The sequence below is a fragment of the Homo sapiens genome, chromosome 6, assembly GCF_000001405.40.
Source record: "Homo sapiens chromosome 6, GRCh38.p14 Primary Assembly".
NCBI classification, from domain to species: Eukaryota; Metazoa; Chordata; class Mammalia; order Primates; family Hominidae; genus Homo; species Homo sapiens.
Genome location: NC_000006.12, coordinates 28,484,509 through 28,501,123, shown reverse-complemented (window position 1 = coordinate 28,501,123; position 16,615 = coordinate 28,484,509). Strand labels below are relative to the sequence as shown.

General features: G+C 41.8%; 2 long non-coding RNA genes and 1 other non-coding gene across 3 annotated transcripts; 2 read left to right on the top strand and 1 right to left on the bottom strand.

Annotated features, from left to right (window-relative positions):
• Nucleotides 1-10,136: 10,136 nt before the first annotated feature.
• Nucleotides 10,137-11,394, bottom strand: LOC124901295 (uncharacterized). The gene is made up of 2 exons (XR_007059538.1): nucleotides 11,171-11,394; nucleotides 10,137-10,752 (listed from the first exon to the last, which is right to left on the bottom strand). It is a non-coding gene; the product is annotated as an uncharacterized LOC124901295 (long non-coding RNA).
• Nucleotides 11,395-11,633: 239 nt separating this feature from the next.
• On the top strand, nucleotides 11,634-15,695 carry LOC124901294 (uncharacterized). Its single transcript, XR_007059537.1, has 2 exons — nucleotides 11,634-11,760; nucleotides 15,413-15,695. It is a non-coding gene; the product is annotated as an uncharacterized LOC124901294 (long non-coding RNA).
• Nucleotides 12,058-12,131, top strand: TRT-CGT1-1 (tRNA-Thr (anticodon CGT) 1-1). Its single transcript has one exon. It is a non-coding gene; the product is annotated as a tRNA-Thr (tRNA).
• Nucleotides 15,696-16,615: the final 920 nt, after the last annotated feature.

The following is a 16,615-nucleotide window of genomic DNA, read 5'->3' as shown; positions in this document are numbered from 1 at the left end:
CCTGCTGTGTACCTAAATAGAAATATGGGCTGGGCACAGTGGTGCACACCTGTAATGCCAGCACTTTGGGAGGCCAAGGAGGGTGGATCACCTGAGGTCAGGAGTTCGCGACCAGCCTGACTAACATGGTGAAACCCCGTCTCTACTAAATACAAAAAATTTAGCCGGGCATGATGGCATATGCCTGTAATCCAAGCTACTTGGGAGACCGAGACAGGAGAATTGCTTGTTCCCTGGAGGTGGAGGTTGCAATGAGCCAAGATCGCGCCATTGCTCTCCAGCCTGGGTAACAAGAGCAAAACTCCATCTCAAAAAAAAAAAAAAAAGGAAGAAAGAAGAAATGTGATCCATGACTTAATCTTTATTCAGCAACATGAAAATTGACTAAACCAAAAACTGTTAGGAAAATGATTTTTAAGACCTTAAAATTCATAAATGGTGGATATTTGATACATGAAAAATGGGAAATATTATCAAAATATTTGGATGTTTTCTCTTCTTAAACTTAACATCTAGTAAGAAAAAATGAGTTAAAAAAATCGGGCTTTCCTTGGCTGTAAACCATAGGATTTGAGATTTCCATAAATCTTTTACTAACCGCTATGGCGGTTGTGAGAGCAGTGAGGAGATTACAGAACCAGCTACCAGTGGTGTTAAGAAATATGTTTCATTTTTTAGCTTCTTTTAAATCTCTGAAGTGGTTAAGTACCTCTGGGACCTTAATAGTCTTCAGAAGGGTTCCAGACCTGGTAAGATCTGGATAACCAAGGTCCAGAAAGTAGGTGGAGAGGATGAGCTGACACAATGTATAAAATTCTCTCCAGTTACTGGTTCAGCCTAACCCAGGAACCTGCAGTTGCTCCAGGTGACCAACATTCCTATAGTAATGAAGAAAGAGGACTGCAGCCTTCAGCCTGAATGCTTTGTGCCTGAGTATGCGGGAAAGGTCTTCATCCTGCCACTGCTCTGAAAATCCAGGTTCTATCCTCCTAATGCCTTCCAGTGGCTGTCCCTGAAGAGAAAATAAACATTTTTCTGGAGAGAGCCAAGACCATAGAAATGAGAAACAGAAATGTCCTTGCAGTGGGAGGTGGGCATAGGTGAGGGGCAGGTTTGGGGGCCAGAAGTCCAGATCAGAATGTCACAAATGATGACAATGATGATAATGATGGCAATAATAATAATGTAAAATATAATAATAATGTAAAATGTCTTTATAAAGAGAGGATCAAGACATAAAAATTTCCACTTCTCTCCTCCTCAACCAATCCCAATAGCAGAGCTTAGTCCCCAACGAAAGTTACACTTAGAACCTTCTGGAAGTGGGTCGACTTCTCAGGAGTGTCTAAGGAGCTCCAGTCTGTCATAGTAGTTAAAAGGTTACTATCAGGTGATTATCATCATTACCATCACAGGCACTATTATTGCTGTGGAACTTTTTTCTTCTAACCAGAAGTTCCCACAACTTATTACGCAAATCAGGTACACTAGAGCTAATTGGGTCCATAAATCCACTACCCCACAAACAACCTACCAGGCATCTAGAATCATTAAGGCTCCACTGATCACAAAACTTTTGGAGAGAGTTCTCAGGCAGGACGGGAAGGTTCTAAGGTCCTAGAAAACCAGGACTCAGACCCTCTCTAATCAACCTATTCCCAGATTTGCAAAGCAGCCCATAGCAGGAGGTAATAAACCACTGTGGTCTCCCCTGTGGCAGTTAGTCTGTGGATGTAATATATTTTCTGTGGACTGTGTGGACACAGGTGGCTCTTAGCCTTGGAGAGTACCCGTGTTAATTCTGGGAGGTGAATTCTCAAAATATGAGAAGTAGGACACAGTCTATCCCAGAGCACATCAAATATTGCTTCTGTGGTCTTATGAACACCTCTTGACTTGGCTTCTGTTCTCCATAAACAGAATCTGAGACAAGAATTGAGGCACATATAGCTTATTGAAAGAATGGTCTCAGAAGAAGGGAATCTGTGAAGCAGGATAAGGCCAGGAAAAGAGAGAATTAAAATGCAATTTCTGCTGGAGCTTAGCTTCAGAAAAAATCACACTATAATCAGTCCCATCTTGAAGGATGAGACATAGCCTCTTGTAGCCCATGTGAGTCAGTCATTGGCTTATGGGCCCACCCTTGAACTCTAGAGGCATAAACTCCCAGGCGAGGTGGCTCCCTTTGGCTGAAGAAAATTCTTTGGAGAAGGTGGCCACTGAGAGTTAATACCCTGGAGAAGGAGCAGCTCTGAGCCATTAGCAGCCAAAACTCACAGCAAGTGGAGATGCAGGCACTAGCCCAGTAAAGCCCATCTGGGTAAGGCTGTGGAGACCACCTATTACCCTCCACAAATGAGTCATTATTGAGGGAAATCTCGAGTAGAGGCCCTGAGAAAAGGACCTTGACAATCAGTCATCATTTTCCCTTTCTTGACTTCTGTCTCTAGGAAATTGATTCTCAAAGCATAGTCCTCTGGCCAGCAGCAGTAGCATCACTTGAGAACTTAGAAATGCAGTTTTCATATCTCTCCTGGGCTCACTGACCCAGAAGCCCTGGGGTAGGTCCAGCAGTCTGTTTTCAAAAGGCTTCCAGTTGATCCTAATACATGCTAAAGTTTGAGGACCACTGCTCTAAGGAATGGAGAATTTGCAGAAAATATTGTCATTTTGACATAGGATGAGTAAGGAGAACTTCTCTTGTACTTCATGTGGCTACTGACTGCTCTGCACAATCAAGCCACACTGCCTCCCACTCAGTCCTTAGGTGCCCCCAGGGTTAACATGGACAATCCAGCCATGCCCTTGGTTTATTAGTTTCCTCAGTCTCTGATCCACATCATCTTCATTTAGGTCCAAATTCAATATGTGTTATCTGACAAAGACTCCCTCCTTGACCCAACTTTAGTCAGGGTTCTCTGAGCCTTTGTGACATCATAAGAAATATGTTTATTTGGTCTTTCCTCCCAACTCGTGGCACAGAGCTTCTAAAATCCTTGTAACTTCCTGAGTGATAGGGATGATAAGAGGTTCTTTTGTTACATTTGGTCTTAGTCCCTGGTTCCCAACACAAGAGCTTTTAAGACCCGTGGAATCTCCTAAATAATAACTGTCTTTGTGTATGTTAATGAGATGACTGGTGGCTGAAAGTCCCCAGATAGCTTCAGAGTGAGGTCTGGTTGCCAGAGAAACCATCCATGGCGATTAAAGATTTGGAACTTTCAGCACCCCAGCCCACTTCTGAGGAGGGCAGAGGAGCTGATAATTGACCCAGTCATCAAAAGCCAATGATTTAATCCATCATGCTTGTGTAATGAAATCTCCATAAAACTCCTAAACAACAGAACTCATAGAGCTTCTGGGCTAGTGAACACACGGAGTTATTGGGAGTGTGGTGCCCCCAGAGAAGACACGAAAGCTCTATATTCCTCCCCATACCTTGCCAAGTGTATCTCTTCATCTATATCCTTTGTCATATCCTTTATAATAAACTGATGAACGTAAGTAAATGTTTCCCTGAGTCTTGTGAGTTGTTATAACAAATTGTCAAACTTCAGGGGGAGGTCATAGGAACCCTCAATTTACAGCAGTTGGTCAGAAATATGAGTGACAACCTGGGACTTATGATTGACATGTGAAGTGGGGGGCAGTCTTGTGGAACTGAGCCCTTCACCTATAGGGTCTGCACTAATTACAGGTAGTTAGTGTCAGAATTGAGTTGCAGTGTCAACACCCAGTTTGTGTCTGCAGAATTGGAGAATTGCTTGGAGTGGAAAACCCACACATATGGTGTCAGAAGTATTGTGAGAGTATAGAAACACAGTCTTTTCTTTTAGCCTTCTCAAGTAGGCCTTGGCTTTTGACTACCTTCAGCAAGACTCCTTCTATCAGTTTACTGAGAATCTCCCCAAGTCTGGTATCTGCACAGATTATTAATCCTCTACCCTTAATTTCTAAGTCCTTAGCCTACCATTAGCAAGAATCCTGTTAGGCCAGTTTAGCAAGACTCTTCCTCCTTTTGATATCTGTGCTTAGTAATTTTCCATCATCTACGACACCTTCACTCTGCCTGTTGGCTTTAAATCCCCATTTGTCCCCATTGAGTTCAGTCTCTCTCGCTAATTGCAGTAGTCTTAGTCTTTACTAGCACTTTATCAAGTGCCAAAATAATCTTTCTTTAATATATATTTTCAAATACATTGTGATTTGGAGTAAAATAAAAAGTTCTCATTTTCTCTTCTTTCTTTACCGCTTCCCTTCCTGACCTCCAGCTGGCATTGCTCTGATTGCAAGTTTTCTCTTGCTCTTTCAAGTGTTAGTTTACAAACTTTCTTTTCTTTGAATCTCTGTGAAGTTCCTGGATAGGGATTCCATGCCCCTCTAAAATTTTCCTTATGAAACCATATTGACTGTCTACCTTTTCTTGATTCCTTGTAAAGGGAAAAGAAAACCAGTTTTAATTCTTTTGGACTCCTTTTGGCCTTTGAAATACAGTGGGGTCAGGAGTGGTGGCTCATGCCTGTTATCCCAACACGTTGGGAGGCCAAGGCAGGAGTTTGAGACTGAGCAACATAGTGAGACCCCATCCCTACAAAAAATAAAATTAGCCAGGTGTGGTGGCACACACCTATAGTCCCAGCTACTAAGGAGGCTGAGGTGGGAGGATTACTTGAACTCAGGAGGTCGAGGCTCCATTGACCAGAGATTGCACCATGTACTCCAGCCTGGGTGACAGAGTGAGACCCTGTCTCAAAATAAAATAAAATAAAATGAAACAAAACACAGTGGCCTCAACTCACCATATGAACCATTTTATAACCTCAGAGTGCCACCTAGAGTGTATGTAGAGCTTATACCAATTTTTAGATTATAACTTCAGAGGAACTAAGGCAAAGATAACTCAAGGATCTTCCCTTTTTCCAGGTCTTTATTCTTTTCTCTCTTTCCAATTTCCTCTGTATTTCTTTGCCTCCAGCCAGACAAGTTAATAGAAATGGAATTATCACCTAATAAGTTATGTTTGAAGACACTCTACACCTGGCAAAGAGAGCTTTATCTTTATCTGTAGAGCCTCAGAGTCATTTCTATTCAGAATACTGACTTTCTAGGGCTCCCCTTCCAAAAACAAAGAGTTCTAAGTTCAATGGCTCCTGAAATATGAGTTTGCTGTATGATTTTATTATATTCAGATATAGGAAATAGGAAAACAAATTGGATGGATAAAACCAATATAGATAGTACGTAAGCTAATAGCTTACAAGATAAGGCAAAATTCAGAAGATGTGTTAACTATACATAAATTAATAAGTAGCTTGTGAGACAGAAGCAGAATTCATAAGTTGTGTTAAATACACATACAAGTACATTAGTAACATGGAAGATATGTTACAGATAGAATAAATAGAATATATGATGGAACAAACAATAGTGTTATTTGGAAAGGAGCAGAAAGATGAATGGTAATCAAAACTAAATGACATTCAATTTTTCTATCCTCTTATTAGAGAAAAATTGAGTCCTCAGACTGTAACTTCCCACCAAAGGAGGAGAGGAATTATTAATGGCTTTAATAATCTATTTTAAAAGCCTAATATAAAGTTTAAAAAATTGGCCAGGCATGGTGGCTCATGCCTGCAATCCCAGCGCTTTAGGAGGCCGGGGCAGGCAGATCACCTGAGGTCAGGAGTTTGAGACCAGCCTGGCCAACATGGCGAAACCCCGTCTCCACTAAAAAATACAAAAATTAGCCAGGTATGTTGGCAGGTGCCTGTAATCCCTGCTACTTGGGAAGCTGAGGCAGGAGACTCTCTTGAACTCGGGAGGTGGAGGTTGCAGTGAGCCGAGATTGCGCCACTGCACTCCAGCCTGGCTGACAGAGCGAGACTCTGTTAAAAAAAAAAAAAAAAGTTGAAAAAGTAAATTTGCATAAATCACTGTATTTTAAGAGTTATAAGGGCACATGAGTACCTTCTGGCTTCAATCTATATTCATAATTTGCAACATTATGTAAAAACCAAGCTCTCAATGTCTGCTGTCAAGGAATTCTGAAACCAGCCACTTCATGCCTTCCTAAACCAGCACTGCATTTTCACAGACCCTATCTAAGTCCCAAATATAAACAAACTTTCAACGCTTTTTTCTAACTTGTCTTCTCTCAATTTAAGAGTGAATGGATAACTGATGTGGGCCTTGCATTATATGTATGGGGTATAAGGCCCAGGGGGAAAAAAAGACTTCCAGATCCTCCATAACTGGGTCCTTTGTTAAGAACCAAAGCTCAAACCCATCCTACATTTTAAGGGGCCCCATTAGTTGGGGGACAGAAGGGACAGAAAACAGTATTCATGTGGGGGATGAAAAGCTTGTCTCAGGATTTTGAGGTGCTGTGGGGATTATGGTTCAACTCTGCTCTTGACAGTCCAAACTAATCAGGTCAATTTCCACAATTCCCTTCATGCAAAAAAAAATAAATTTGGCATAATATATGCCATCATTTATGATTATTTCTCATAAGTATTTTGGCAAATTTAAGTATCTCTTTATGCCAAACTTGATTCAGATTTTTTAATGTGTGCATCAAAACATCAGATTTGTATCTCTCTGTTTAGAATAAAAGCTTCTCGAGAGACAAAACAAATATTAAATTAAAAATAGAACTTTACATTTGGCATATTTGACTCACTAAGAGTTTAACTGAATAGCAAAAACTCTCAATTCCATCAAATTATGTTTTCACAACAGCAGGTTCTGCTTAGAATATCATACTAATTGCCATGGCTAGTTAGGGAAGGATCACTATTTGAATCTAAACAGCAGTTACATCATATTCACCTGATGAAAAAAATGCATGAGGGGACAAAGAGAGTCATCTACAGTAATCACACAGTTTTCACTTTAACAGACTAGGTTGTGGTGCTACTCAAAAAGAAAAGCAATAATAGGAGGAACTTGATGAGTCCACGGTGTCTATGAGATACTAAGGTGGAAATGTCTTGTAGGCAGTTGGCTATAATCATATGGCATTCTAAAAAGTTTTATGCAAGATATTTGGAAGTTATCAGTATTCCAAATATGCAAGATATTTGGAAGTATTTTGAAAGGTTCAAAGATATGAGTGTGTGGAATATTCCTTTGAATACCATCTCAGAAAAAAGGGCAACCAAATATGGAACCTAGAAAACATCAACATTAAAAGATTGAATCTTCTACTTGCACTAGATTTTCAAGTTGGGAACATTTTACTCATGCCTCTGGGAAGTTCTTGGCTAGAATCAGAGATTCCAGTGCCACAATTTCTCCACAGAGCTACACATTTGCTATATTCAATATCTCAACTGTAATTTTCACTATGACCACATAAACCAGTGGAAGATTAAGTATCTCTTAATTAGGGTCATTGGCTTTTAAAATGCTGTGAAAATAAAAAAACTAGTCTCTCTGAGCTCTTTGTTTCCTGCATATACCTTGTCACACTGCCTCCCCACAGCTTGCTACTTACCCACAGGCTTGGAAACAATCAGGAAGTTTGAAAATAAAGAACAGACAAAAATATCAGGCAAACTCACAAAAAGAAAGGACTCAAGGATTTAAAATCATGTGAGGTGGGATTTTGGACAACACTCATTAAATAAAACAAAGAAGGGTACTGCAAAATGCTAAAAATTACAGTTTAAGTGGAGGTAAAGATTTTTGGTTTTTTTGATATTCATGCTCAAAATAAAGCAGCAACTTTCATTCAGCAGAAATTCAGTGGAGACACAAGTAGAAAGGCAGAGACAATTTAGTAATTGACTTCAATTTATTGCTCTAAGTTCAAGAAATATCAGTGGACAAAGAAATAAGTAATATTATAAAAGACAAATAAGAATAAAACATTGACCTGATAGATATCATAAAATTCTTTATAGAGAAAACACAATTTTTAAATTGCCCAAAGAAATTAAAGAATTGACTATACAATGATCTAATAAGAAAATATCAAAATACTTTTTAATTTAGAAAATTAATACTGTGCTAGAAAATAGAGATAGAAATCAGCATCAAAATATAATCAGAAAAGTATAAAATGTTATACTTAATGTCAAATGCTTCTAAAAATATCTTTGCTCAAAGAGAAAATCAAAACTAAAATTACAGGCCAGGTATAATAGAATGTCAATAAGACAACATATATCATTACTGTGGAATGCTACAAAAGCAGGTCAGAGGGGAACATTTGTAACTTAAGTGCATTTTTTAAGTAAATGAGAAAGACTTTAAATGACTGAAATGCTGGTGAGTATTTCTCTTCAGAAGCAAGTAAAAGACCAACAAAACATACCAAATGAAAGCAGAAGAAAGGAATCAACAGAGAAAATCTGTTTACATGCTAGGAGAGCTAAGAAAGTTTTTTTTGTAAATAAAACTGAAATACAAATCTGTGGAATGTCTAAGGGAAAATATAAACTTAGAATTCAAAATTAGTGAAGAAGACACATTTACAAATAGAGATGAGATGTGTATCTCAAATAAAAAGCATTTTTTTACAACTTTCTACCTCTGTATCTGATAATCCCTGATAATCTAAGCATAGTGAATGAGATAGGATTTAGGACAATATAAATTACCAATATTGATGTGATAATAATAAATAACATTGATTGAAGGCTTGCATGGCCCAGGCATCATACTAGAATTTTAAAAGCAGTAAGTCATTTAATATTCAGTATCATTATCTCTCAACAAATAAGCAACTGAGAATCAGAGGCACTATATGACACACTCAAATGACACATCCTCACAGAATAATAACCACGGTAATAGATGAAGAGGCTGTCAAAAGTCTCTTTCCATTTCTAAGCCCCATGAAAAGGCCCCATTCTCTTAGGCCAAGTGCTGTCAAATTGTCAAGGATCAGGTAACTCTTCTGGGTTGAAAAGTTTCAGGGCATAAGAAGTGGAAAACTGCCTAATCCATTCATTAAGGTTACCAAAACCTGACATAAATAGAACCCAAAGTAAAAACAAAACAAATCAAATGAGAACAATCAAATTCATACATCCAAAGATCAACATATCAAATAAAATGTTAATAAGTGTACGGACCAGCCCCACAGGGTCAGTGGGTCTCTCCCTGTGTGCAGCGACGAGAAAGTGTAGAAATAAAGACGCAAGACAGATAAAAGAAAAGACAGCTGGGCCCGGAGGACCACTACCACCAATGCGCGGAGACCGGTAGTGGCCCCGAATGTCTGGCTGCGCTGTTACTTATTGGATACAAGGCAGAAGGGGCAGGGTAAAGAATGTGAGTCATCTCCAATGATAGGTAAGGTCACGTGGGTCACGTGTCCACTGGACAGGGGGCCCTTCCCTGCCTGGCAGCTGAGGCAAAGAGGGAGAGGAGACAGAGAGAAAGACAGCTTACGCCATTATTTCTGCATATCAGGGACTATTAGTACTTTCACTAATTTACTTCTGCTATCTAGAAGGCAGAGCCAGGTGTACAGGATGGAACATGAAGGCGGACTAGGAGTGTGACCACTGAAGCACAGCATCACAGGGAGACGGTTAGGCCTCCGGATAACTGCGGGCGAGCCTGACTAATGTCAGGCCCTCCACAAGAAGTGGAAGAGCAGAGTCTTCTCTAAACTCCCCCGGGGAGAGGGAGACTCCCTTTTCCGGTCTGCTAAGCAGCCGGTGTTTTTTCTTGACACTGAGGCTTCTGCTAGACCACCGTCCGCTCGGCAACGGGCGTCTTCCCAGACGCTGGCGTTACCGCTAGACCAAGGAGCCCTTCTGCTGGCCCTGTCCGGGCATAACAGAAGGCTCGCACTCTTGTCTTCTGGTCACACCTCACTATGTTCCCTCAACTCCTATCTCTGTAAGGCCTGGTTTTTCCTAGGCTATGATTATAGAGCGAGGATTATTATAATATTGGAATAAAAAGTAATTGCTACAAACTAATGATTAATGATTTTCATATATAATCATATCTAAGATCTATATTTGGTATAACTATTCTTGTTTTATATTTTATTATACTGGAACAGCTCGTGTCCTCTGTCTCTTGCCTCGGTGCCTGGGTGGCTTGCCGCCCACAAATAAGTAGAATCTGGCTAGTGTGTGTAAGAATAACAAATTCAACAGAACCAAACAAAATTCACTCCAATAATTCCATTTTATTTTAAGTATCAAAACTCATTATTTAACAAATACCACATAGTGGTTTCATGACTTCTGTGGCTAAACAGGCTAGAACCTCCACACCCCAAGAGATTAGAGCCTTCATCCAGCGCTTTGGACTGCTTAGCCACTTTGCCTCCACGAAAAGCAATTATTTTAGAACGTTGTGTATATTACCTTCTCTATTCCCTTTTAACATACACTCATCAGGAATTTCATGTCCTCCAAACTGGCAAAAGTAGAGTTAAAATTGTGTGCACAGACCGTCTCAAAGATTCCCACCTGCCAAACATCCATCCTGATTATCTACCCTGTTATGAGTCCTCCCAGATATTGAGAAAAGACAGAATTCTTTTCGGGACGTTCATTGCCCCTCTCTCCAGCCAACCAGGACCCAGGAGACCCGAGTTTCGGTCCCAGCGCTGTCTTTTATGTTACCCGGGTGTGAAGCAGGAGGTAGCCTTTACACCTGGGAGAATAAAATCCATTCGCTTCTAGAAAAATCAGTCATCGAGAAAACGCTTGAAAACCCCCATGGACGACCTGGCTCTGGGACTGAAACGGCGCTTAGTTGACGTCTCATTTTTGCCGGCTGCGTTTAGGAGTAGGCAGCAGAGAGTTATTTTTAATGTGCACAACCAGAAAACAGAGGACGTCCCCATCCCCAGCCCCAGCCTCCCATCTACCCACCTAGGATTCGAGTGCCTGCTTTTTAATAAAGTCCTTACTATGAAAGACGTGGAAAGAAACGTCTGTACAGACAGATCTACTTTTTGCTCAATGTGTTCAGGGCCTTAATTCCCAAAGTCCAGGACGGGAATCCTTTTGCGTTATGCGTGTCTTCGCATACTACCGGGCCCAGAGAGGCTGTGTCCTGCCCTCTCCAACCCCACGAAAGCGTTCTGGGCGGGTCCCGGGTCTCCCCTCCCCAGTCCCAACCTCCTTGTCCCTCAACCCTCAGTCGTCTCAGTCCCCGCCTGCCCTGGGTGCCCTGGGCCCCGCAGACGCACCTGAATTCCCCCGGCCCTACGTAGGGCCTGCTCCTGGACGCGGAGCCGAAATCGGTTCAAAGCCTGCGGGCGGGGCTCCTTGCAGGTCCCCGAAAGAATGAGAACCGGGACCCCCCCCCCCACCACCGGGACGTGGAAGGACGGGTTACAGAGGAGAACGCGTTATCTCCTCTGGGAGGCGATTTTCAGAACTTACTGCGGGAAAAAAAAAAAAAAAAGAAAAGAAAAAAGAAAGAACCCCCCCCCCCAAAAAAAAAACAAGCCCAAGAGGAGCAGAAGAAAACAAAGGGTGGGAGAAAACTGGGACAAATTACTTTTTCTTGGTCAGTCTTCAAGTGTCGACCAAACTCCTTGAGGCCAAAGCAGTGGAGTCCTGCTCCCCGCCCCTCCCCCACCTCCGCACCCCTCCTGAGAGGCCCCACGTGACACAGAACTTTACTGGCCTCTTGAAAATGACATCACAAGACCTTAAGAAGAGCTAAACGGGCTGCCACCTGTAGCTGAAGAGTGCCTTAACGCCGAGGCCCACGGCTCCATGCGAGAGATGCCTGTTCCTTCTCTGATAAATTTGGCAGCTTCACGTACCCTAAGTGAGTGACTTTCAAGATTCAAAGGTTTTTTAAAATTATGTATAGATATATTCCTTTTAATCGTCTTCACGTATTGTATAGCTTTCTGTAATGCTCTTTCTTGGATTAATAGAAAAATCCTTTGACACTGTAGACTGCCGAATACGTTTCCCCGTGTATTCGTATGTCTTCAAAAGATACTGAGGAAATGAAGTGTTTCTCGAGTTGACATATTTTTTGAAGACAGCAGATAACTAACTAAACTCATTTTGTCAAAGTAAAATGAGATAGATTCACCTCTAAAGAGTGCTTCCGCGTGGCTCTATGGCTTAGTTGGTTAAAGCGCCTGTCTCGTAAACAGGAGATCCTGGGTTCGACTCCCAGTGGGGCCTGATGTTTTCCAGAGAAAATCAGCTGTTTCTGAAAATTGTTTTCTTGACGAAGAACTGCGTCCTCCCACTAATTGCCAAACATTCTCACCAAACTTAACAGCAGTAGAACACAACTGGATAAATCCCAAGTTGTTTAACTGCATCCTGCTCAGATTCCTTACTTTTAAAAAGTAAATTTTTAGGAGGAAGACAATGCAAATGCAAAAAGTGCGAAAGAATAATGCATGTGACCCACCTCAATCAATTTCGTATGTCTTGCTTTAAACTGTGGTAAAATGTTTTTGAGCACTTACAATGTGTTACAGTTTAAAGCATGTAGATAACTGTTGTAGGCATGCAGATAAATAAAATCTCTCTAGATTCTAAAAATCTCCAGCTCTATAATTGAATTCATAAGATAAGAAATTAATGAACAACAAACCCATTAGTAGCTACAAACAAAAATTAGGACATTTGCAGGGGCATGCTTGCCTTTTTTTTTTTTTTTTTTGAGATGGAATCTCGCTCTGTCACCCAGGCTCCAGTGCAGTAGCGATTCTCATGCCTCAGCCTCCAGAATTGCTGGGATTACAGGTGTGCACCACCACGCCCAGCTAATTTTTGTATTTTCATTAGAGACAGGGTTTCACCATGTTGGCCCGGCTGGTCTCCAATTCCTGCCTCAAGTGATCCGCCTGCCTCAGCCTCCCAAAGTGCTGGGATTACAGGTGTGAGCCACCGCGCTTGGCCTGTTTTTTTACTTTTTAATGAGAAATATTCACAATGTGGCTACTATGTTACTCTAAGTATCATAAGTAGCAACGTAAAACATTGGAAAATTGTCCCTATGTTTGGACCTCACTGCTGTTCATTTTGATTGGGACCTTGTTGAACTAGGTCACATCGGCTGTATTCAAACCTCAGCTGCTACATTTGATGGCTAAGGGACCTTTAGCAAATTGCTCTAGCTCCATGGGCATCACTTTCTTCACATGTGGAATGGAAATAGTAATAAGCCTACCTAATATAGTTGATGGGAGAGCTTGTTGAGTAAGTATACAAAATATTTTAGAAGGATATTTGGCACCTAAACAAGCAATAAAGTTCACTATATTGTTGCTTTTTATAATTTTTCTTATTTATTGAACAATTAGGGACAAGTGTTTAATCCTTTTACTCTGAAACTGCCTTTGCAAACCTATGACAGTAGCATAAATCTGACATGGCTGTGGCTGACTCCATCTTGCTTCTAGCCTCATGGGCTGGCTGTCTTCTCTCATTTCTGGGCATGGACCAAGTTAACTGTGGAGTCCTAATTGGGAAAAGGAGTCAGACTGGCGGGACCAAGGGAAAGCAAGAACAGAAAGCAGATAAGCTATAAGTCTGCCTTTCTTCATGGTCCAGGACACATAGCCCTCTTGTACAAACAACTCACAATCTTCCTGTGCTCAACTATCACCACACACCTGCAAGGCAGTTCATTTCAACTTTGGCATTATCAGTACTGCACAAAGCCCTCTTCAGTTTACAGCATAAACCCTATTCTGTAAAGTCTCCAGCAAGCCTTTGTTTCTTTGCAGTCAGCTTCTCTCATGCTGATTTAGCCATTGCTTTCTTGCAACCTATTTTCATACTTTCTCTAATAAATCTGCCTTTCTAGGGTCTTTGCAGAAGTAATCAAGTTATGATGAGGTCATTCTGGATTAGGGTGGGGCATAATCCAGTGACTGGGATCTTTACTCGAAGAGAGGGAGGTTTGGACACAGAGACACAGACATAGTGGGAAGACGGCCCTGTGAAGATGGAGGCAGAGATTGCAGTTACTGGCCACAAGCCAAGGAGTGAGACTGCCATTGCAAAATTATAACTGAGAAAATTATTACAGTAAAAGAGATCTGACCTAACTGACTCCATCTTGCTTCTAACCTCCAAGCTGTCCTTGTTCATTCCTGGGTGTAAGCTGCAGTAACTTTGGGAGGAACTTAGTTTATAGTTTAACTTTGAAACAGGATGATAACAGCCCTTTCCCAAAGCAAACCCCCTTCCTGCCTAGGGACTAGACTGCTTTTGTAGGACTAACAAATTAGCCACAAGATTAGAAATTATGGTTTAGGAGTCATGCGGCTGGAGGCTACAAGATTCTGACACTCCCCAAATTGCTACTGGGGATAACATCACTATTCTATTGTAAACCCTACACTCAATGGATCAGCTGTACCACCCAGGTCAGTAAACTGGCTCATCTGATCTTGTGGCCCCACCTAGGAACTGACTCAGCACAAGAAGACAGCTTCAACTCACTATGCTTTCATCTCTGACCCAACCAATCAGCACTCCCAACTCACTAAACCCTACCCACCAAATTATCCTTAAAAACCCCAATCCCCATGTTTTGGGGGAGACTGATTTAAGGAATAATAAAACTCCAGTCTCCTGTACTCCTCTGCATGAATTAAACTCTTTCTCTATTGCAGTTCCCCTGTCTTGATAAGTTGGTTGTGTCTAGGCAGCAGGCAAGGGGAACCTGTTAGGTGGTTACAGGAACACCAAGGATCTCTGGCAATCATCACAGTTGAAAGAGGCAAGGAAGGGTTCTTCCCAAGAGCTTTTAAAGGAGCATGACGCTGTCCACATCTTGATTTTAGACTTCTGGCTTCCAGAACTGTGAGAAAGTAATTTCCTATCACTTTAAGCCACCCAGTTTGTGGTAATTTGTTATGACAACCCTAGGAAACTAACACAAAACATTAAAACAAAATTAGTGATTTATACTAGCAAGTAAATGAAATCTATTATTTTTCCTAAATAACAGATGACATCTGGGATATTCACACCTCAACTTAAAATTACAAACCTAGGGTATTCCACTTCTTTAGTTGTTTTACAGTAGCACAGAATCTTGGAAACCCTCTCAATTCTTTTTCTTCTTCCTAGTTTGTTTTTTACAGGCCACTACACCTGAAACAGCCATTGCAAAATTATGACAGTAAGAGAAATCTGGCATGCTGACTTCATCTTGTTCCCAGCCTCACTGGTTGGTTGTCTTTGCTCATTCCTGGGCATGGGCCAAACTAATTTTTGGAGAAATTTAGTTTATAATTTAAATGGTAATACCCCTTCCCAAAGACTAAACTGTTCTTATAAAACTAATGAAAGGCCACCAAGTTAGAGGATGAGAAGGGTCTGAATTCTAAATAACTACCAGCCATTATTCTGGAGGTAATATGATTTGCAACTTCCCCAATTACTCTTGCAGATAACATCACTATTGCACAACCTACAATATGGTGATGTCTTTTCAGGTTTTTGCATTTCTGACAACCACGTGTCCTCACCTGGACCCGCCAACCCATCCTGTGGCCTCCACCCAGGAACTGACTCAGCATGAGAGGACAGCCTCAATTCCCCATGATTTCATCTCCAACCCAACCAATCAGCTTGCCCCCTACCCTGGTCCCCTGCCCACCAAACTGTCTTTGAAAAACCCATAACCTCCATGCCTTCAGGGAGATAATTTGAGTACTAACGCCATCTCCCATGGGGCATGGCCGACCTCGTGTCTATTAAACTCTTTCTTTACTGCAATGTTGTGGTCTTTCTGGGTGCAGTGGACAGGAAGGACTCCTTGGGAAGTTACACACCTATCCCCACAATGGTGTAACTCTGTGAAGTTGTCCCATGAATCGCCCTTGGCTGTTTGGAGACATCTAGTAGATTACACCACCATTCCATTCCCAGCAGCTAATAACTGACGGATGGGGGAAGGAGTATAAAAGTCAAGTCCCTTGACTCAGTGACCACTCTGCTATGCAATTTATATTCCAGAGCCCCTGTCTCATGGGTCAGGCCAAAGCTAGACTTTATGTGAGACCACATCTTTGTTTTGTTACTTGTTCTTCCCCATCCAGAGGATCATTTCCTCAATAAATCACATACTCATTAAGGCACATCCTTTGTCTTGGGGTATGCTTTAGAGAGTCTGACTTTGCTTCCCAGGCTGGAGTGCAGTGGTGTGATCTCAGCTCACAGCAACCTCCACCCCCCAGCCTCAAGCGATCCTCCCACCTCAGCCTCCCAAGTAACTGGGGACTATAGACGCAGGACACCATGTCCAGCCAACAAGTCCGGCCTAAAAAGACTTTCAAAGTAAATTTCTGGCCAGGCATAGTGGCTCACGCCTGTAATCCCAGCACTTTGGGAGGCCGAGGCGGGCGGATCACGAGGTCAGGAGATCGAGACCATCCCGGCTAAAACGGTGAAACCCCGTCTCTACTAAAAATACAAAAAATTAGCCGGGCGTAGTGGCGGGCGCCTGTAGTCCCAGCTACTTGGGAGGCTGAGGCAGGAGAATGGCGTGAACCCGGGAGGCGGAGCTTGCAGTGAGCCGAGATCCCGCCACTGCACTCCAGCCTGGGCGACAGAGCGAGACTCCGTCTCAAAAAAAAAAAAAAGAAAAAGTTCAGGCATGTTTTAAAACTATGAAGTCCACATCTTTATCTGAGTGA